The sequence below is a fragment of the Homo sapiens genome, chromosome 4, assembly GCF_000001405.40.
Source record: "Homo sapiens chromosome 4, GRCh38.p14 Primary Assembly".
Lineage (NCBI taxonomy): Eukaryota > Metazoa > Chordata > Mammalia > Primates > Hominidae > Homo > Homo sapiens.
In genome coordinates, this window is record NC_000004.12 from 89713455 (window position 1) to 89736988 (window position 23534).

The following is a 23534-nucleotide window of genomic DNA, read 5'->3' on the forward strand; positions in this document are numbered from 1 at the left end:
TGCTTCTAGTAATTACACAATATTATTCTTCTTTATATAGCTTCTTAACCTATTCTGGGTTACATCCACTTTAGAAGTGGATGAAGAATATAGATGTTTTTAGTTAGAAAAAGCTATGTAGACATATGGACATTAAATTTTATATAAAATGCAAGAAGTTACATCTTATTTAAGGATACTTAAAATCCACCATTGGCTCTTTTTTCAGAAAACTTGAACCTTGTGGTTCGCTTACAAATTTAGCTTCCTTTTAGGGACTGTTACCATAAGGTATATTTAGCTGTTGACAACTTGAATTTTGCAAAGTTTTGCTACTGCCCTTTATTTAATGTGAATGTGCCTCTCACCTTTGTCATGGCCCTTTTGAATCAAACTGTAAGTGGAAAGTTATAGATATTATCAAAGAACCAAGAATGAGGAAGCCAAGATTGCTTTTCCCTGCTTGTTTGTATTCTAAAATAGAGTATTTAGAACACAAAATCTTAAATGCATTTCTTTAGTGGATAAAGTTCCAAGATATATTAGAATGTCCTTATTCTGTTTATATCACTGATATTTAAAAGTATAACATTGAGTCAGTTGAACAGTCTGTAAAACATTTCTTAGTGCTCTGTTGTAGCCAAAAGAAATGCAGATTATATTTAGTTTGTGTACAGTCTATTTCAAACATATGTATAAGAATGTAGTACTTTTAGCTTTTCTATTACTTTCCTTTTTCTTCCATGTAAGTTAGGATGGTGTAAATACATAAATAGATGTTGCTTTGCAATTTGATTTCAATCTCTGTGTGTATGTCCTAACCGAATCAAAAGGCTTTTTGGAAACTATCAAATTCTCTCCAAGATAAAGTACAGAAAGATATTTATGCATTGGTAATAAAGATTGAAACTTTATTTCAAACACTTTTCATTTGGTTTCTTTTGCACTAAGATCTTATTGCTCAAAGTTTTTTTTGAAAATTTTTTCTTCTGTTTTTTTTTTTTTTTTTTTGAGACAGAGTCTCCCTCTGTCACCCAGGCTGGAGTACAGTGGCGTGATCTCAGCTCACTGCAATCTCTGCCTCCAGGGTTCAAGTGATTCTCCTGCCTCAATCTCCTGAGTAGCTGGGATTACAGGCACGTGCCACCATGCCCGGCTGGTTTTTGTATTTTTAGTAGAGACAGGGTTTCACCATGTTGGTCAGGCTGGTCTCGAATTTCTGAGCTCATGATCCACCCCCGCTTGGCCTCCCAAAGTGCTGGGATTACAGGAGTCAGCCACCGCGCCTGGACTCCTCTTTTTTTTATAATAGTCACCATAGTAATATAAGGAATTACTATATTAAAAGCCCAAACGTATATTTATTTGACCTGAATATTTTTAAAAAATATTAATATCACTTTAATTCTATTACATCTTGCTGTTAAGATTTTGACTTTTCTTACACCAGTGAAGATGAGAAAATGGAAATAAAGAAATACTAGGTATTATTAAGCGTTAATATAATTATAGTAGATCTCATTTAATCTTTAAAACAAAGTAGCGTGAATGTTTTAATTTCCAATTTATATCTAATTTTCAGAGGCTAATATATTTCCTAGGGTCACGTAGCTAGAATATTGTAGAGCTAAAACTTGAACCCAGAGATTCTGATTGAGAAAATAGCTATGATTTTATTTTTTAATAATTTTGAAATAACGGGCAGGGCAAGTATTTGGGGAGAGGTTGTCAAAATAAGTAAGAATTTGCCTTTAGAGAAGCATATTCCTGAGGTTAAAAGCACAATAACCTTCATAGGTGGGAATTGAACAATGAGAACACTTGGACACAGGGCGGGGAACATCACACACTGGGGCCTGTCATGGGGTGGGGGATGGGGGAGGGATAACATTAGGAGAAATACCGAACGTAAATGACGAGTTAATGGGTGCAGCACACCAACATGGCACATGTATACGTATGTAACGAACCTGCACGTTGTGCACATGTACTCTAGAACTTAAAGTATAATAAAAAAAGAAAATAATTAAAAATGAATATAAATTGAAAAAGCACAGTAACTTGAATTAGTCTGGACAGTAAACAGAGTTAGGTTTCTTCTTTTAACTTTGGTGTAGAAGTCTTTCCTCTGTTTTATTTATTTTGCTATCATCCATCTCCTAGGCTCTAGATCCATGGCATGTCTTATAGAAAGATACTAACATAGCTTTTAATGCATGTTATACACACACACACACACACACACACACACACACACTTTTATATCTTTTCTAAAGTAAATCCATTCCCTCACCTCAAATGTGAAAGACCGTAAGTTGCTGGCCTAGTTTGGAATCTTGTCTCTTGTATAGTTGCTGAGTTCACACCTGCTGCTTCTCCATCTGCTACAATTTTAGATCAGTAAGACCTTCTTGAAATATGTGGAAAATGTCAAACATACTCCCAAAAAAGTGCTGTCTTCTTTTAAGCTGATGGTGTCCTGAGATGACTGAGGATTTTTGTTGTTGCTGTTGTTGTTGTTGTTGTTTCCCAATGATTAGAACTCACCTCTTTTTTTTTTTCCCTCCAGTGACCTATAGTCTCTTTATTTAAGGGATCAAGACAACTTGGCCATGGTTTAAAGAACAGAGAAATAACATTTCAAGAGTAAATGTCATTGCACTTGATGGCAGTCACTTGAAAGGTCATCTATTCTATACTTATAAGAAATTAATTGTACACCTGAATGATATTTTTTAGCCATTAAAAAATTTTAGTGAATGTACAAATGGGTTTCTTTTCATCTCAATCTTAATATATCTAGTATAACAAATTTTGTATTTAAGAATAACATCTAATAATGATGTTTGCACATTCATGCAGATATTTACTCTAAGCAAGATTCTACTAGCCATTGTAATGTGAGGGCTCAAAAACGTAATCAGTAAGGAACTTGATGAAATTATATTTGCATGGGTATACTGGTGGTTCTTAACTTAAATATTAAGTTCTTATTTTTTGTGCTAAATATTTAGACGTGGAATTTTGTGTTTGTTTTCTTATACATTTGTATATATATTTTATTGTACTTTTCTTAGATTACTTAAAAAGTACCTTGTTTCCCACAGCAATAAGAAAGGTGCAGGGGTAATACAGTGGCTCAAAGGAGCAGGAAGTAGTGAATCCTTAATTTGTTATATAGGAAAACTGCTCATATTTAAATGGGAGCATTATTATGCTTCAAGCGTATGTTGGGGTTTAGTGTTAACATGTTGTGTTCCTTCTATAGATATATTCTGGAATATATCTACAGATTTAGGATGCAATTCACCAATAATAGTTTTTGGAGCAGTAAAGAATTATTGGTTGAAGATTTGTTTTAATTCTATCCAAAATGACAAGGCACTATGTAATCTTGGGTGTTCGCTTACTTATAAAATAAAGGCATTAGACAGCTATAAAGCTATGTGGCTCTTTGATCTTCAGACAATCTGCAGCTTCGGGGTCACATTGCGGCAGGGCTTCTTTATCACTGGAAAGGGCTGATGGGGGACAAAAGGAGGAGATGAGTCTTCTGGGAGAGCTGTCAGCACTAATGGTTTGCTAGACCCTGACGTACGGAACTGCTTAGACTGATTTTTCTTCCTACATCTCTGTTAGATCCTAAATCTTGATCTGGTCTCACTCTAATTTTTTTTGTACCTTTTAACAATCTAGGCTGTTTTAAACTGTACTCTCTTTGCTGTCACTTGGGGAATCTCCCTATGGCAATCTCACTCTCAACTCCTGTCTGAACTGAACAGCATGAACACATCTACCAAGAAGAAAATTAATTAGGTAGCCACAGGCAACGTAAATACAGTCACGACTCCACCTAGAAACCTAAACTTTTTCAAATGTATGCTTTGAGGATTTTCAGAATGCACAGTGCCAATCAATTTACTTCCTGGAATTTGTATGTTTCAGTGCTTTGATTTTTCTGTGAAAGAAAACAAAACAGTGAACTGAAATGTGCGATGCAGTTTAGAGAATGCAAGGCCCAAGTATCTGGCAAAATAGCATTTTTCATATTTCTGCTTCACCTTGGCCTCAGATATGTATGGAAACATTTGGTTCTAAACAGAATTCTCAACAGCAACACCAACCTTTCTTAAAAATGTAAAATTTCTCAAAGTCTCAATAGCATGGTAAGAGCGTTGCTTATTCTTTTGCCAAATGCCTGTGAGTCAAGGCTGAAATTTTGGGCTAGTTGATATGGTGATAAGGTATTTTAAGTAGAGCTTATTGTTAATCTCTTCAGGATGCTAGTCTTTTGGCCTGTAGTCTAATTTTAGTCTTGCCAATTCACAGAAGGTTCCAGAATCTCACTGCTAAACCCCTGACTTGGGTAGGGGTGGTGCTGTTTGCTTTCAATCTTCCCTGACTCTGCCTGGGTGAATAGCACTTGTTTCCCTGTTCTCAGTGCTGCTTCTCCTGCATGTTTCTAGCTCCTTCTTGTTGGACCTTCAGCGTACTGTCATTTGTTGTATGGTCTCCCTGTTGTCTATATCTGGACTTCTTCCCAGCGTTTCCTTCTTCCCATAGATGAGTAAATTTCAAAAGGTCTTTTCTCCTAACATATCTTGTACTACAAGCACCTGAGTCTTCTATACATGAATATTGTGGGATGCCTTCACCGTTTGTACAGATCATTCCACTGGGCCTTTCTCCTAAGGAAAAGGAATGCTTTTAATTCTGTCACTGGGTAGGCAGACCCTCAAACTTTGGCTAGCTGCTTCTAGAAACACAGAAGAATGACAAACTGTACCTATCTATTCCGCCCATCCTGTGCAGGGCCTGCACTAAAAGGGAAAATGCCATAGCTTATTCAGTACTCCATCACGAGGATGTCCTGGGACTGCCACTATTTCTTCCTCGGAAGAGATACCAATTGTGAATATGTCTTTGACTGGAGGGAATTATGATTTGGAAGGCTGCCATTTGACTGTCATGTTTTTAAAAGAGTTGTTTGGTAATAAGCTGCTATTGAATATTAAATTGGAAAAATAAATGCAAAATAATAATAATAATCACAAACAATAACAATAGCCAAATGGGTTCTTTCTACAGACATTGAAAACTATGTGATCTTTGTGTTGCTCTTATAGATTTGGCTACTAAGAAACTTAGATCTAAGTGTAGGATATAACTACATTATTCTGTACCATATTCTCAGTAGTCTCATTTCCTCATTATATATGTAAGTGATTTCTCACTTACGAAAAATTTAGCTTTATTTCATAGTCCAGTGTAATTTTTTGTTTGCTTGGTGGTTTGTGTGTTTATTTTAAGCCAGGTCAGTTTTTTGTGGGTAAGTGGAATACAAATAAAAAATGCATTCGGAAGTCAGAAACATATAGATATCAAGTGTTAAAAATTAGCTATTAACATTTTCATATTGAACACATTCCATAATTATATATGAAGACTACAGGTCAGTCTTTCCTGCACTGCTGCTGGGTGTATATGGGAGCTGGATGGAATGATTTGTCAGAAAAGATACTGCTCAAAAAAAAGAAATTCAGTCAATTGCAGACTGTCAATATGAGTTCTCATCTATAAAAGGGGGCTGTAGTGTGGAAATCATTGTTATTCCAGAAAGAATTACTTCAAATGAACTGTTTCTGACATGTCCAGAAATAATTGGCATGAAAATCATGACTAAAACCTATACCTAACAGCCTGGAAGTAGGTCTGATCATCAAAAACCAACACAGTGTAGCATTTGAATGTCTATTCTCACCATGGGCAGTGAAAACACAGCCATGGAAACTCCATAATATTGATGTACAGAGCTGTTCTTAAACATAACTTTGGATTGTGTTGGACTCCTTCTTAGAATGGCACCAAGTAACCACCAGTATTCACCTCCAAACATTGCTGTGATAATCAGAGCTCAGAATCAGTTGTTAACAATACATAATTTACAGTTCCTTCAGAGATATGTCTTCTTTTGCTTTAGATGAGATCAAGAAAATTGTAGGAAAGGTCTTTTTCTCAGCTGTTACCCTTTTGCCCATCGATCTAAGACAAGTGGCCTAACCTAGCTAAAGGATGGCACAAACAGCTAAGGATGCCCAAGATGGATTTCCAAGGAAGTTTGCCAAAAAGACTTGCCAGATTTCTAATCATTCAACATGGACACTCCATCTTCAACAGCAGGAGTCAGTGCTGCCACATTACTAATGTTTGGCAGCCTCTCAAAACTTGCTTTGACCATTTCCATAGAGATTTGGATGACGCCTTACACAACACGTAGTACGTTCTAGAGGCTCATCTGTCCATATTTAGTCTTCATTTGTTTTTTTACAAGAGTTGATTTTGTTAGGAAACGTAGTATTCAACAATAATTTTCTGCTACTCTCAATTCCTAGGTAGTCGTACAGTGTCCAGAAGGCAAAAGGACAAGTATGCACTGCCCTACTTACCTACTTTCCACACTGCTGCACAGGAAAATCTGACAGAGGACAATAACAAACATCTCACCAGCTCATGCGTTCTTTTTTGATCCTAATTCCGAGAGACTCACCAAAGACATGAAGAGAAAACAAACAATACTTTTCTTGGAAATATTGTAATTGCTGGTACATTTGTTGTTCTGGCATAAAGTAGAAATTGTCAGGTAAACATTGCTTCCTTTTGGATCAAAAAGAAATTTAACCAAATAAATGCAAGAGGTATGAGGGAAGATAATGGGAAATAAATGAGATTTGAGAAATCAGTGGAGGTTCAAGTGGTTTTTTTTTTCTTTTGTAGTTGATAATACTCTGTTTTAAATCAGTGAGTTTTACTTATATATGCTTGTCCTTTTTTTTTTCTAGTTACCAGAACAATACTCAGTGAACTTATGAATATATGGTAAATATTAAACACATCCCACTTGGATGAGAAGATATGTGAGTCGATGAGTATAGCTAAGTCTAAAGTTAGATGTGTTCCATAAACATAGTGTTTATGGAGTTGGTGCATATTCACTTCTCAGTAAGTTACACTTTCTTAATTTCTTTTTGGTGCTAGGTGATATTCTGCTAAGTACACATAAGTATAGTAATATTGGTTAGTAAACTAGTAAAATGCTCCCCTAGCTATTAGTAAATAGCTTCTGCCTTGTGTCTCCAAAATATCTCTACCATTATCCTGATCTTGATTGCTATTTTATATTAAAAGAAGACATGTGAATGTATATGAACATTTAAAAAAATTGTTATTTCTTATTTACCTTTAAAAATACAGTGTGCTGTACTAGTACTACTACTAATAAATAGCATCATTGACTCATAGATCACTTACTATCAGCCAGGCAGTCCTAAGTATTCCACTTACATTAACTCACTTAATGCATGCAACAATGCTATGAGGCACTATTTTTATCATTTGCATATTTACATATAAGGAAACAGAGACACTAATATTAAGTAGTAAGAGACATAAATGGGAGTCGAAGTTCCATAGTCTATTAATAGTTTTGGAGTTCAGGATAGTCTCTATTACTCTAACCTACCTCATTAAGCAGCATCCTTGACTATTCTAGGTAAAGAGTATTGTATTCTTTTCTAAGATAAAAACATGACTTGCTACTATATTTGTTTGGATTCAGCTTTACTGGAACACAGCTTAGCTTTGACATTTACAGACATGGGTTAGGTTTCATTTTGTTGCAAGATAAAAGGCAATCTGATATTTAGTTTACCTGCAAAAGGCAGTTAGGAAGCCCTAGAGGAACCTAATTAAAATGCAGCACATTTCCAAGGCACCATATCTTGCTGTGTTGCCATAGAAACAACGAGGATTTCTGGTCACTGACCTTCCAGGGAATCTGAGGATGTATTTTCATAAGGTTCATAAGAGAAGCCATCCTAGTATGTTAACCTATAGTTGCAGATCAACTATACGTTATGGAAATTCCCTATGCAATTCTAGCCAATTTTAAAACCAAATTATACTAGCAAAACTTACTAGAGGCTCAAACTAAGGGCTCTTTGAAGGAATGTGGTTTAACTGCTTCCAATATAAGATTTCAAATAATTAAGGATACTGTAGTAGCAGCAAAAACATTAAAGAAAAGCTTAGGTAATTACACAAAGAACATTGGAACTAAAATCATATTTAGGAATAGTTTCAATGTTATATCTATTCTATTGCATTTTGGGTTCTTCAATTCTAGGCTTACTCAAAGGATAAAACGAACATTACTGCATCAATCAACTACACCTAGAAAATCAAACTTTATTATACAATATTAAGTTGCTAATATTATTTATACCTATAGATTCTTAATTCATGCCCTTTACTATCTATTTATAAATTCATTCATTCCATTACTAAATATGTATAATTGACAATCCCAGTTATACCTTAATTTATATTTTTTTGTCTATTTGACATAAGCCAAGTACCCATGCCATGATTCAACACAGAAAATTACAAAGCCCACCTTACTGTAGACTGCTGCTCTTATTGCATCAACATTCGTATCTTCCACGGAAAATAATTAACTTAGTTCTATAATCAGGATATGCCCGGTTTATTTACAAGGAAATACCTATCAGGTGCTAATTTCTCTTAGAATTAGAAATCTTGGCCAGGCATGGTGGCTCACACCTGTAATCCCAGCACTTTGGGAGGCCGAGGTAGGTGGATTACCTGAGGTCAGGAGTTTGAGACCAGCCTGGCCAACGTGGTGAACCCTGTCTCTACTAAAAATACAAAAATTAGTCGGGCTAAGGTGGTGTGTTCCTGTAATCCCACCTACTCGAGAGGCTGAGGCAGGAGAATCGCTTGAACCTGGGAGGCGGAGGTTGCAGTGAACTGAGATTGTGCCATTGCACTCCAGCCTAGGTGGCAAGAGCAAGACTCCATCTCAAAAAAAAAAAAAAAGAAATCTCTCTATATGTATCTATAGATATAGATATGTTTATAGATATATAGATATACAGAGACATATATATAGAGATGAGAGATATGTGTACACATATATATAGATACACATTTTGTGTGTGTTTGTGTGTGTGTGTGTGTGTATATGTTTGTCTTCAGGCACCTGAAGAAAAACAGATGTACTAGCAAAACTTACTAAAGGCTCAAACTCTAGTAAATTTTCTTTAGGTACCTGAAGAAAAACAAATATCTAATTATTATACCTAGAAAAGTGGGGCTATCACCCCATTTCCTAGACTTCTGGAAGTTTTCTTAAATAGCTGTGTGTCCTCACTCTGACACTATGTGGCCAAGGGGCTGAGAGCACAGACTGTGGTGCTGTAATGTTGGGCCTCTTGGCTCTGCCGCTTACTAGCTGTGTGGCCGTGGGAAAGTTATCTAGCCTGTGGGTGCCTCCTTTGGCTTATGTGTAAAATTAGAATCATAATGGAACCTATTAAGGTTGTTTTGAGAATTAAATGACTTAATATTGATAAATCACTTACATCTATATTTGACACATAATAATTTGTCTAAAGTATAGCCAATAACAGGGACAGAGCTCATATGAAAATGTCAGCCCTGTTGCACTCTTGCCCTGCCCAAGACAGAAAGAACAAAGTGGGATGAACACATTTCAGATGAAACACAGAGTTCCATTAGTGTGTGGACAGAGGCAGTCTGTCAGGTTTACAGATTTGAAAAGAAAATGTGTTTTCTTCCTCAGTATGGATTTAGACAGCACTGTCTTTGAGAATTAATAGTTGTCTTTGAGATGTGTGAATGCATGAGTGTGTTTGTTTTAATCTAGTAGTGAAAAGGAAACGCTGTTTTTCTTTCTATACACTCACTCACAACACTCAATATTTCCGGAACACAATATTTCCGGTTCATTTCTGACACCACATGTGTGTGTGGGGTGTGTTTTCTACACCAAGCAATTCTCCCATTCTTTGTGGCTACCAACTGGGTGTCCCGTAATTCAAATCGGACACTATCTACCTGGAGTTAGCATTGACCCACAGGTTAAGGACTCAGTTTTACAAGATTTTTCCCCTTCCCACTGAAGATGACAATCACAAGCAATGAGTCCTCATGTTACTCATAGCTTCTGTTTGACTTGTCTACAAATCCAAGGTCTCCACGGCCCTCTCCTCAGGTTTGATAATTTGCTAGTGTGATTCACAGACTTCAGGAAAACAGTTTGCTTACTAGATTACCAGTTTGTTATAAAAGGATACAACTCAGGAACAGCCAGATGGAAGAGATGCACAGGGAAAGGTATGGGGGAGGCGTGGGGAGCTTGCATGCCTTCTCTGGACACACCACAATTCCCAGCACCTCTGCATGTTCACCTATTTCAAAGCACTCTGAATCCTGTCTTTTAGGGATTTTTATGGAGTCTTCATCATGGAAGCATTGTTGCTTATTAACTCAATCTCCAGCTCCTCTTCTCTCCCGTCCCCAGAAGATGTGAATGGGGCCAAAAGCTTCAAGCTTCTTATCATGGCTTGACCTTTCTGGTGACCAGCCCCCATCCAGGAACCCAGCAAGAGTCACTTCATTAGAAGAGAAGATGCTACTCTCACCCAGGGACTAAGGAGCTCTGTCAGAAAGCAGAGTCAAAGACCAAATATTAGAACAAAAGATGACCCTAGCACCCCTACTACTCAGGAAATTACAAGGGTTTTAGGAGCTCTTTGTAAGAACTGGAGGCAGAAACCAAATACATATTTTCATATATGTATATATTTATTATGTCACAAATAGCTACATACTGGATAAGCCAGAAAGATGAGGAAACATGTTTGCATCTCACACTAGTGCAGAGATTCTGAAAAAGACCCCACTTGGAATACCAAACCACACATTAGATTGTTCTGTTCCCAATTGTGTGCCAAAGTGCACTCTGAACTGTTTTGGTAAAGCCGACCGTGGAGTCATATGAGGCTGAATAACTTGGGAGAATGTAAGTCTGCAAAATAAACCTAGGACTGGATTGATCCTCAGGCCACTTGGCAGGTGAATGTCTCGGGAGTGAATATGAGACAAGCTTCCTGAAAAGGCTTATATGACTTAAAGAACTTTTTGTTTAAGTGTTTGGTCCCAAATAAACTATTAAGATATATAAAGTAATTCACTGCTCAAAAATTACCGTCAGATAAATATTAAGGGAAGAAACACTTTAAAGGAGAATTTGTATCCACATAAATCCTTAAATTCATGGTCACAACTTTCCTAATCTCAAATTGTTCTAGGTCACTGCTATCAGTCTAGTTCTGTCCTCTATTTCTTAATTTAATACCAATACTTTTAAATTTTTAAAATATGCTGCTTTAGGTAGATTTAAAATATATCCTAACCGCCACTTTCTAACCTTCCTGAAATATACTGTTCAATAACAAATCCTTTCCTTGCTTAAACATAACTTAAATAAAACAAGAAACTTACCATTTCTCTCTAGTGTAAGATGACACATGCAGCTTAGCACTCTGTAGTAGTCTCTCTTCAATTAGGTAAAAAAGGAAGTTTCTATGGTAACCATCCTTATAGTCACTCATTCCTCCTTCCTTCCTCACCAGCGCCCAATATATATCACATTACTCATGAATACATATAAACTGCTAGCATGTCTAGAATATTCTGTCTTGAAATTATACTTTCTACTAGTGACTTTTAGAAATGACTATGCCCCAGAATAATTAAAAAGAGAAACCAAATAATTTTTAAATTAATTTATACAGAGTTTTTCACCATCAAGTTTATTTTCAGCACCCATGGGGAGTTAATAGATCTTCCCTGAAAGAGAAAAACCTTTCCTAAGGAAAAATCCTAGAATTCATATATTTGGCAACATTTAAAGGAGGCCATGAAATTTTTATCAGTCTAGAGAATTGATCTCCTTTAAGGTGACTCTGGTAGTTCCAACGATGTTTAAAGGCATTTCCTGTAAAAAAAAAAAAAAAAAGAGAGCGAGAGAAAAAGAGAGAGAGAGAGAGAGAATTTCTGATGATTAAAAAAAAAAAGTGAGGAATGCTGAGTTAAACAAAGTTAACCACATTCTCTCAGAGCCTTGAATGTGCTAATATGTGCTAATGTGTCTTATGGCTCTCTAAGGAGGGTGTAGTCAAAATCATCTTCTACACTGCTTAGTTCCCGGGAACCCACTTTTTTTTTTTTTTTATTCATGGTCGAATATTATTTATTGTCAGAAAGGTACAGCATTCACACCAATATCAGACAAAATAGATTTTAACTAAAAAATTATTTCGAGACAAAAATAACAATATATGTTAATAAAAGGCTCAATTAAAAATGTATAACAATTATAAACACATACACATCAAACAACAGTTCCCCAAAATACGTAAAGCAAACATTGACAGGATTGAAGGGAGAAATAGACCACTCTACAATAGTAGTTGGGGTCTTCAACACCCCACTTTCAATAATTAATCACAGCCACTTAAGGAACCAGTGCATACCAAAACACACTTCTGGCAGTGTTGCTTCAGGGAATTCCGAGTGTAGGGTTAATGTTCCATTTTCTCTACCTCTTCTAAAATTCCTCCTTCTTCAAATGGCTATTAATAACTTTATATTTTTGTCCTTTGTGTCAGTTCTTAATTCATGTTGCTTATAAGCATGATTTTTATTATTAAAGTGAGATGGGATAAAAATAAAATATTTTTGCAATGAGATAACGTTTTATTTTAATTCTCACCATTTATATACAAACACAAGTGAATAAAACACATCGCAAAATGGTAAAATTTCATATTTAGTATTTATAGGTGCATAGTTTCATGCTCACATATTTTTAAGTATTATATATATTAACAAATTTCACAATACGTCATTATTCTTAGACAGTATCATTAAAAGACACCTAAAAATCTTATAATATATGATAGCAAATCACTAACAACTTCTGAACAACAGCAACAAAAAAATAGTGAGGATTTAGAAATAAGTGGTAGTCACTTAGGTGTTTTTAATTTGTTTTAACATCGTAGATTGAAGCCACAAAATCCACAGCACACAAAGACCCTGCTACCATGTATTCACTTCAGTGAAAGGGAAGCACCGAAATGCTGAGTGGGGGCAGGTACAGATACTTCAATCACTGCTGATGGAAGACTTCGAGATACACTGTAAAAACTTTGAGAAATGTCATGACTGGGCACATTGGAACTGAGCACTTGTACAGGATGGAACATCTGTCAGCAGATCTCAAGAAACTGGGAGCAAAGATATTTCTTAGGCTTCAGGTTCGTAGTCTTGATACCCTTCCTAATATTAGAAAAATCAAAAAGACAGCACACACTGTTAGTATAAGTTTCAATTACGCATCAGCACTGACAGCCAATGAGATAGGAAATGGCTCCCCACTTACACTAAAATTTACAATCAATGTTTTTGCAAATATTCTGCAGCAAATATTATCTTATTTTTAATAGTTGTGTCTTTCTTGTCTGATATAAAAGTGAATTACAGTAGTAGTCAGAGTTAAAATATCTAGGTTCTGATCCGGATGCACCATTTAATGATCATATACCTAGTTTGGTAGGACAAATAAGTTGGACTGTCTGGTTCTCAGTTTCTTCACCTGTAAAATGTGAGAACAAAATCAAGCTGTCTATAAAGCCTTTTCCAGACTAAGATGCTCTAATTCTCAGAAGGAAATTAAGATGTTTGAAGGCAAGATACATTTTCCCTACTTTCACTCTCCCAGTTGAAAATTTCGTCTTCATCTATGGCTTCAATTATTACTTGTATTTCAAACCTCAAGCTCTCCATACAGTATCTGGATAGCATCCACAACACAAATATTAATGGATTTAATTAAAGGGATCAGATTATTCCTCCTAAAGAGCAACTCTAATAATATCAGGATTCTGCTTAAAAACAAACAAATAAGCATAACTTCAATAACTCAAGTTGTTTTCTGAATAGAATACAAGCTGAAATGACAAGATTATCCTAATACTCTATAACTTGTCTTTGACCCATAGCTGCAAATTCAATCTATCACCATTTTCCTTGTTCCTAAGCTTGAGTCATAATTATTCACTGTTCTCAGACATATCCATTTGCATGCTCAGACATACATGCCTTTGCTTCTGATATTCCCTTGTGCCAGAATGTCCTCTGTTTGTTTTGACCTACTATATCTCTTACCTTTTCCCACCCAGATCAACATTACCTCCTCAATAAAACTTCTCCTGATTGATTGAAACAGATCTTTAAAATGTTTTACTTTTTAGTATGTCTTATATATTTTTGCTCCTGTGATGCCTGGTACATCGAAGACAATCAATTATGTTTGTTAAAGGAATCATAATGAAGAAATGAATGAATGAATTTCTATTTTTTTTCATCAAACCTACCAGACTGTAAACTCCTTATGTCCTGGTAATGTCAATTACTCTATAGTTTTCCATTGTGTTTAGTACTGTGTCTTGCATAAAAGACCCCAAAATATTGGAAATTCTTATTAGGCAAACAAACAATTTAATCTCAATTTCTATAAGTTGAATTATTATCAATATGCCTTTCGTGTGTCTGTGTGAGACAGTCTTGCTCTGTTACCAAGATTGGAGTGCAGGGGTGCCATCTCAGCTCACTGCAACCTCTGCCTCCTGGGTTCAAGTGACTCTCATGCCTCAGCCTCCCAAGTAGCTGGAACCATAGGCGTGTACCACCATGCCCGGCTAATTTTTGTATTTTTAGTAGAGATGGGGTTTCACCATGTTGGCCAGACTGGTCTCCAACTCCTGGCCTCAAGTAACCTGGCCACTTTGGCTCACAAAGTGCGGGATTACAGGTGTGAACTGCTGTGCCCATCCTCGACATGCCTTTTAATAATGCCGTGAGGAATAATACATAACCAAACTACAACATACTTGAACTCAATTTTTAATGGAGCCATTATATAGTTTCTTTTCTTGTGATATCTTCATTTGGTTTTGATTATCAGGGTAATATTGGTCTCACAAAATTAGTTGGGAAATGTCTCCTCTTCTGTTTTGTAAGAGATATTAATTGGTGTTAACTAATTAGTATTAATTCCTCTTTAAATGTTTGGTAGAATTTACCAGTGATGCCATCTCGGCCTGGGATTTTCTTTGCAGGTAGGTTTTTTTTTTTATTACTAATTTAATCTATTCGCTGTGTTACAAATCTATTCAGATTTACTGTTTCTTCTTGGGCCAGTTTTATTCATCTAACAGTATTTTCTAATTTCCCTTTTGATACATTTTCTATTAAAGATACTTTCATTTTCAATCAAAATAAAATTAACAATCATATTGTGTTGTTTAAAACATTATACTGGAATATATCAATTGTCGCAAATCATGCATTTATCTTTTTATTCTATAACTTGTGTGGGTAACTTTTATTTTACTATGCGTCATCCCATTGGACATGTATGGCAAAAAATAATAACCTTCCTTTGGCATTCCATTGATTTCCCTAACTTTCCATTTAGAAATTTATTTTAGAATGTAAAGTTTCTAAAAATATATTCTCTAATGCAGGGGTTAGTAAACTTTTCCTGTAAAGGGTCAAGTAGTAAGTATATTAAGCTATGTGGACTACATATGATTTCTTTTACATCCTTTCTTCCTCTTCTTCATCTTCCTCCTCCTCTTTTTTTTTAAGGACCCTTTAAAAATGTAAAAACTATTCTTAACTTGCAAGTTGTCCACGTAATGAGCATGTAGAGAGCAAATGATTCTCACTAAGCACTAATGAAAGAGAAATGTGACAATGACAGGTTTTTGGTACTGTCTTGTTAGAAAGATTCAGCTTGGACTCCTACCTCAGAAGGCATTTCATAAGCCTCATTGTCAGGATCCACAGGCATATCTTCCAGAATTCCTTCCTGTGGGGCTCCTTCTTCATTCTAATATTTAAAGTAAGAAGCACAAAAAGAACATGATGAAGTAGCATTTTTCACTTTTAAAAATCAGAACCATGTTTTGGAAAAATCTTACATATAGGGATGTTGGCCACGGATCTTGAAAATGGCACACCTTAATATTACTACTGGCATTCTAAACTCCACAATGCCTCCGGGGAAACATTGCGGCAACATGGGTTATCAACCCTCAAAGTATGTAAACTTTTTGCTCAAGTAATTTACTATTTAGGAAATAATCCACAGCTATAGTCCAAAGATATTTTTCACAAGATCAATGACAGCAGGAAACAAAATTTTTAGAATTGTTAACTAAATGTTCAATGAATAATGAAGAGTTAAAAAATTATTGCTGGGTGCAGTGGTTCACTCCTGTGATTTCAGCACTTTGGGAGGCTGAGGCAGGTGGATCATTTGAGTCCAGGAGTTCAAGACCAGCCTGGGCTGTTACAATGAAACCCCATCTCTACTAAAAATACAAATAAATAGCTGGGCATGGTGGCACATGCCTACAGTCCCAGCCACTTGGGAGGCTGAGGCAGGAGGATCACTTGAGCCTGGGAGGTAGAGGCTACAGTGAGCCATGTGCATGCCACTGCATTCTAGCCTGGGTGACAGAGGGAGACCTTGTCTTAAAAAAAATTATCATTCAACTACTCAGTAGATTATGATAAAGACCTGTATTACTATTACCTGAGAATTATGTAACAACTACCTATTTATGGTATAATATTTAGCAGGCTATAAAGTGTTGTCTATATTATAGATACAACCTACACAGAATTCAGACGCAAAGGTAAAAAGTTTGGAAGAAAACACAATAAAATATGAAAGTTATTTTGTTGGATAGTATGTATGTTATTTTGACTTTTTTTCTAAGTGTTTAACTTTTATAACCACTTATAATGTAAAAGCATACATATTTAACACATTAATTTTAAATGACAATGAAGAAACAAATTCTTTTCTGAAATTTGAAGACTGAGACTATACATATTGAAGGAAAATAATCAAATACATGGTCAGAAAATTTTTCTAGGTATCTCTTCCTAGACAAAGAATACTACAAAACTCAGCCTGAAATGGTCATGGCTTTGTTGGTATTCTTCACTAAATACCTTTTGTTGCTTTGCATTTATTTCAGCAAAGTAATTATAAGAAGATAAAGGTAAGTGAAAATTCAAAGAACAGAGAGGCAATGTGAGCCTAAAGGGACTTGGAGAAAGAGATCAAATAATCCCTCAGCCAACGCGGCTGATTTTCAACAACATGTCTGATGTAAAAAAGCTTCCCCATGTCTTCACATGGAAGTGACTGACAGGGACGCAGAAGTATAAGAAAATGGCTAACAGTAAGAAAAGGTCACACTAAAGATCATGCTTATGGTAGGTGGGCAGAGAAGCTTACAGATCATTCTGCCCTTGCCAATGCCCTTTTTATAAACTAAAAAAAATCCAAATAATATATAAATTAAATAAAATATGAACCACCCCAAACTACCTCACTTTAAAATGTGGAGTAAACATACTGTTTTCGTAGTGTTTCACTTCTTGGTAGATACGCCTCTGCTGCAGGATGGCTAGGCACAAGGCCTTCCATGTCACAGGACTTGAGCTCAAGTCCTAGCTTCTCTAGATGACAGAGCTTTTGTGATGCTGAGAAGTTTCCTATGCTTTTTCTGAGTGTCAATTAGTCTTAGTGATCAAACGGGACAGCAAAACCTTCTTTACAACAGGGAGAAGGAAACGACATCATTAACTTTCTCATTAATATTTAGATTACTGTTAGGATATCCAAGTATAAGGGAAATAAGGCAAATTTTTTTCCATGATTTTGAAACTGACAGAGATTTGATTTTCTAATATAATTTGTTAGAAAATTTTGATATGGACCAGACAAGTAAATATGGCAGACCTACCCTGTTTGTTGTTTGATGATCAAAAAGGAGTTGTTATGACGGAACTAAGACTGATGGATATTACTGGATTTGTTTATATGTTATTTGGCTGAACTTTGAAGGATGTACACAGATGTGTAGGTTAGGTGAGTGTGTGTGTCTGCATGGTTCCAGCCTGGGTGAGTGGGTGTGTACAAGAGCACCCTGCAGTAATGGAACAGCGTCCTGTCCGGGGTGGGTTCCCATATTGCTCCCTGAGCTGCCAGGATAGGCTCCAACCACCTGCGGCCTCCACCGAAATAATTAGGTAAGTTATTTGACTTGTTTGTATTAATCTTTCTTAAACGTATATATAGCTCACATTAATTTCAATGTTTAATGTCAGAAGTGATTTATCTTTATTTAGGAGTTTGATGGTGTTTTTGTGTCCAGAAATTTGCCATAGGACTTAATTCTTGCTTATATCAATTAGCCAATGGTAAAACTGGTTTTGTTATATGTTGTTTTGCTTCAAGTCACAGTTTCCAGAAACTATTGATGAAGTTAAGTGAGGATTTACTGTATTATGTGCCCTCTGATGGAAGTACATACACATCACCATCTTAAACTAAGACTGTACTAGTTTAAGTGGGCTATTGTTCACTGATCCAATAACTTCATCAAGTGGGAACAAGCTACACTAGGGATGACAGCACAATCCTATTCTAGAGTCCAAATCGACAATAGGGTTTACGACCTCGATGTTGGATCAGGTCATCCTAATGGTGTAACTGCTATTAAAGGTTCGTTTGTTCGACAATTGAAGTCCTACATGATCGGTGAGGTCAGGAGATCTATAGCATCCTGGCCAACATGGTGAAACCCCATCTCTACTAAAATACAAAAAGTTAGCCGGGCGTGGTGGTTCTCCTATAGTCCCAGCTACTCGGGAGACTGAGCCAGGGGAATCACTTGAACCCGGGAGGTGGAGATTGCAGTGAGCCCAGATCACACCATTGCACTCCAGCCTGGTGACGGAGTGAGACTCCGTCTCAAAATAAATAAATAAATATATAAATAGAAAAAGAAAACAAAAAAAGAAAAGCCCTACGTGATCCGAATTTGAATTTGATTAACATTTAACTATCACTGACAACTTACAGCAAATATAAGGTGGTGAAAAACATGTTCATTGCTTACAACAGTGGCTACAATCAGCAAATTTTGCACTGTGAGAAACTACACAAGACAAAGAATACGTCTAATTTCAATAAGTAAATTGCAACTAAAAAGAAGTTAGTGGGAACCTGCCGCTTAAAGTAGAAGTGAGAGAGCATTAGCCAATTGCAACCTAAGAACTTTATTTCATTCTCATTGGGAACCCTACATAAGCAAATGGAAAACACATATGAGGTAGTTGGGGAAATTTGAACACTGACTTGATATTTAAGAATTATTGTTTATTTCTTTAGGTGTGATGATATATTGCAGTTTTACTTCAAAAAGTTCTTAACTTTTACAAATTAATTAAATGTTTACAGATCAAATAAGATATCTATCTAGGTTTGGGTGGGGGAAATGGGTGGGATATAGAAGAAACATGAGTTTAATATTTCATCAGTTTTAAAAAGTATATACAGTAGTCTCCTTTTATCCGTGGTTTTGTTTTCCATGGTTTCAGTTGCCCACCACCAATTGCAACCCCAAAATACTAAGATATTTAGAGACAGAGAGAGAGGGAAAGAGAAAGCGAGACCATACCCACATAACTTTTATTACAGTATATTATTATAATTGTTCTCTTTTGTTATTAGTTATTGTTGTTAATCTCTTACTGTGCCTAGTTTATAAATTAAACTTTTTCATAGGTACATAAGCATTGGAAAAAACAGTATATGTAGGGTTTGCTACTATCCGCAATTTCAGGTGTCCTAGTGGGGGTTTCAGAATGTATCCCTGTAGATAAAGGAAGACTGCTGTATGCTCATTTCAATAGTTAGTTCTCTAACTATGTTTTTCTGAATATGTGATCTAAATTTGTTGACTCTATCACATTCGTAGATTTTAAGCATACTAAAATATTTGGCAGCTATTCCAAGGAGAATATAACAACAAACACTTCATATGACCATCAGACACAATTTTATCCCTATACCTGTATATTTACTGTTTCATAAACCTATTTCTAAAAACATTGTTATCTATAAAGAAATATTAAATTTCAACTCCAATTTACAACTGTGCCTAATATAGTTTGGCTGTAACAAAAAAAGAACATTAAAATTTGCATTTTATGAGTATTCATGACTTGTTTTCAAAATATAATCATACTTGAAGGTGTGAAGTGCACCTTCTATTTATTTTTACCACAAACAAGAAAAAAAACTACCAATATAACAAATGTTAAACACTTTTGAAAAAATCAATTTTTTCTCAAATTTTCATTATGATATTATATTAACCCAGAATATGTTAGGGCAATAAAATAAATGAGAAAAACGTCTGGATTTTGGTATATGCCTGTATGCTTAATAAGAGAACCTACAGGGTAGGATATAGAGACATAGTAAGAAAATACCTTTTATTCTCTCTCTACTAGGCCCTATCCCTGGAATAGCTGTAGACTTTTTTTTTTCAAATGGGATTGTTTTACGAACAGTGAAATAGACTCAGTTCAGTATCTTATATCTGCATTTGACACACAGAAAGAAAAATGGTTATCAAAAAATTACAATGGAATGACCCTCATTGCTAATAAGGAAAGACTTAAAAGCTATATTAGGAAACAGAAATGGCTGAGACTGACCTCTTTCTCCCTAAAAAGCTTATTCAAGTTCTTTTTAAATAAACCTGTAGGGTTGAATAGCTGATATAACTGATTATCATTTCGTACTCGTCCCAGCTGAAGTGCTCTATAAAACAGATCATGAGACGAAGCTTCCTTCACTGCTAATAGCTTATTGGGAAGTACAATTCCAGGGAAGTGAAAGTGAAGGAAAAGGGAAGTGATACAAGGAGAAGTAGGAAAAAATTTCAGCTACTGTCTTTAGGAATACAACTACAGAATTTACATAATCTTTTTAAATTTCCTGTTTTGAACCATATTGTATTTAGATACCTAGTAATACTTTCTGTAAGGAAATTATCTTTATTCAATTCTATGACTTATAACTTTAATTTTAAATATATTTAAAATGACACATAATAAAGGCAAAAATTGCTTTCCAAACCACACTCTTCTAGAATCATCTAGGGCCCTTGTTAAAAATGCAGGTTTGTAGGGCCTTGTGAGTGTCTTGTTAAGTATGTTCCTTGGAAACCACTGCCCGACATCACCAATTGTTTGTAAACCCTGTGGTATAATTTAATATAGAGTATACCAATGTACTTGCTGTCAGTGTGAATAATTTTTTTTAAAAAAGATATGCTCATTTTGAAGTCCATCAAATGTTGGCAAATGTTGAGGGTTATCTGAAGACACTGGGAAGTAATCCATGGTGATCGTTAAAATAGCAAGGTTTCATCAATTATCTGGTATCTATGCTTTGTCAAAGTTAGAAATGTAGAGATACATTTCTAAATTAAAACTTTTATGTGGGAAGAAAAATTGAAATTCAAGGCTGGTTGGTCTTTGGTATACCCAAAGAACAAAGAGGAGGTTGGAGGTGTTCTGAAAAAGAGAAATGATACACGCTGCTCTTTGAGAAAGTTCATTGGCACTAGAAAGGTTCTGGGGAGCTAGTAAGCTTCAATTGGTGAGTGACAGTGGTGGGCAAAATTAGTCCTAGAGCTGCAGCAAGTTTTTTCAGCAGTTACAGAAAAAATTGGTCCCAGGTTACAACAGGCAGCCTCAGCATGCGGACTTGTAGAAAATTACACTTTTGGAGCAATGTGATGTTTCTTGAATGCTTTTCCTCCCAGGCTTCTTGATTGTTTTAGTTGGGTATAACAAGAATGACCCAATTTGTGTGATCAACTTTCACAGCCTTAAACATTCAAAGCAGCAGAAGCGCACTTTCTCTTTTGCCCACTGCTTTTACACTTGAAGATATTTTGGGTAGAACCATTGTTTTGCTGCATTATTGAACAATGTCACTTAGCCTCAAATAATGGAATTAATACCTTCACTCAACAACTCACACCAGGAGGATGAAGGAGAGAGATAGTAGCCAAAAAGATAAAAGAAGAAACTAAAAAAGAACTTTGACTTAAGAGGAAAAAAAGGTTCAACTTAAGCACACACCCGTGTTCCAAAATGAAATCAAGCCCAGAACTCGTATTTAAATAAAAATAGCATAGACGTTTCAAAAATGTGAATATTCTCTACTTCTCTACCTCAGACAGGGGAGTGTGTACATAGTGTAGATAGTATATTTCACTAAGAGAATTACCATGTATTTTATTGATGCACTTAAAAATGAAGGCGATAGACATGAATACCTTGTTAAAAAGCAAGGTAAAGATATATTTCATATGTTCAATTTTCTATTATCAATTCCTAGTCTGCTCATAATGCCATTTTGGGGTGGGGAGCAAAGGGCATCTGATTCAAAATCAAACTAATCTCAATTTTTGATAAAATCTAAGGAATTTTATTTTTAAAACATTGAATTAAAGCAAACTTTGGATACTCTGATTTCTCTTGAGGTCATAAATCCTCTGCCTTTTTAAGAGATCTATGTGGAGAGGAACAACTCTGGGTCTTAAACGAATTATTGAGGTCTTGTTTTGGAAAGGCTAGATATTTTGTTAAAAAATATAAGATTTCAAAAAACCTAAAACTTTGGACAATGTTATTTAATCATCAAAAGCAAAACAATATGCATATTTCAGAAATAACACTATATTTTCAGTCTTACTATTATGCATAAGAAAGAACAATATAAAAATAATGTAATGATTACATTTATTGTTTACATACTCTGAGGAGTATTTAATTGCATCCTAGTAAGTATATTCTGTCACATGAGAAGCCATAGAAATTGGCATGTTCTGCTGTATCCAATGCCCAAAGGATAATAAAGCATGATAAAATTACACTTAACGAACCCAACCTCCTTTTCCAATTATATATGGTTAAGTTAAAATTCAAACTTTAATTTTTGGGAAAGTATAGTTATGGCTTAGATCTAAGGTAGAAATAAAATGACCAAAGGACTTGGTGCATTTAACATTCTATAACTTTAGAAATGCATCAAAGTGGCAAGCCCAGCATTAAGAGCTATTTGTCACTAAGGGCCTGTGGTTGAAGTCTGTTGGATCCATCTGTTCTTTCTGAGGCAATATGCAGACGAAAGGTAAGGGGAGTTGCAACATAATTTGTAATATTTGATACATTATAATACATGATAAATTATAATATATTAGAAATATAATTTATAGCATTACATCTAGTAAGATAGATGTAAAAGGGAACAGGTAAGTGAAAGGGCAAGGCATAAGTCTTGTATAGAGTGACAGGTCTGGTACAGTCCTACTACCAAATCTATAACTATAGTATTTTGAATATTTTGCACTATTTCAATGTAGCAGTATTTTAGGTTTGGTTGGCCTGACTTTACAACAAGATAAAAAATTCCAAGTTTTAACAATGTAGTGACCTACTGTGTTTTAGATGTTGAAATCTATAATTTTCTATCAACATTTTCTACTAACCTGTAAAAGACATGCCTTAGAATGTGGGAACACACACAAACACATACATACTCACAGACACATACACACGAAGTACAGTAGACCACTGATGATCTCTGGTGCCACTTCCTGAGATCATTTTGAATGTTCTAATTAAAAAGTGCAAAGTATAATTTTTTGTCATAA

The 23534-nt window shown here is 35.4% G+C and overlaps 1 protein-coding gene and 1 long non-coding RNA gene across 13 annotated transcripts in view; one reads left to right on the forward strand and one right to left on the reverse strand.

Moving 5' to 3' along the window:
- LOC124900602 (uncharacterized) overlaps positions 1-12678 on the forward strand; it is a 44628-nt gene extending 31950 nt beyond the window's left edge. Inside the window, exons 2-3 of the long non-coding RNA XR_007058466.1 lie at positions 6372-6619; positions 6819-12678. This is a non-coding gene — a long non-coding RNA (uncharacterized LOC124900602). The remainder of the gene's footprint in view (positions 1-6371; positions 6620-6818) is intronic.
- The window catches only part of SNCA (synuclein alpha), a 114206-nt gene continuing 101316 nt past the window's right edge, over positions 10645-23534 (reverse strand). For 9 of the 12 annotated variants that reach the window (NR_164676.1, NM_001146055.2, NM_001375285.1 and 6 more), the window contains 2 exons: positions 15740-15823; positions 10645-13206 (listed from right to left, as the gene is read on the reverse strand). Coding sequence is in view for 9 of the 12 variants with exons in the window: in NM_001146055.2 (NP_001139527.1) it covers positions 13174-13206; positions 15740-15823 (117 nt within the window). In the remaining 3 variants the exon portion in view is untranslated. The remainder of the gene's footprint in view (positions 13207-15739; positions 15824-23534) is intronic. The other 3 variants (NR_164674.1, NR_164675.1, NM_007308.3) reach the window with 2 other exon arrangements.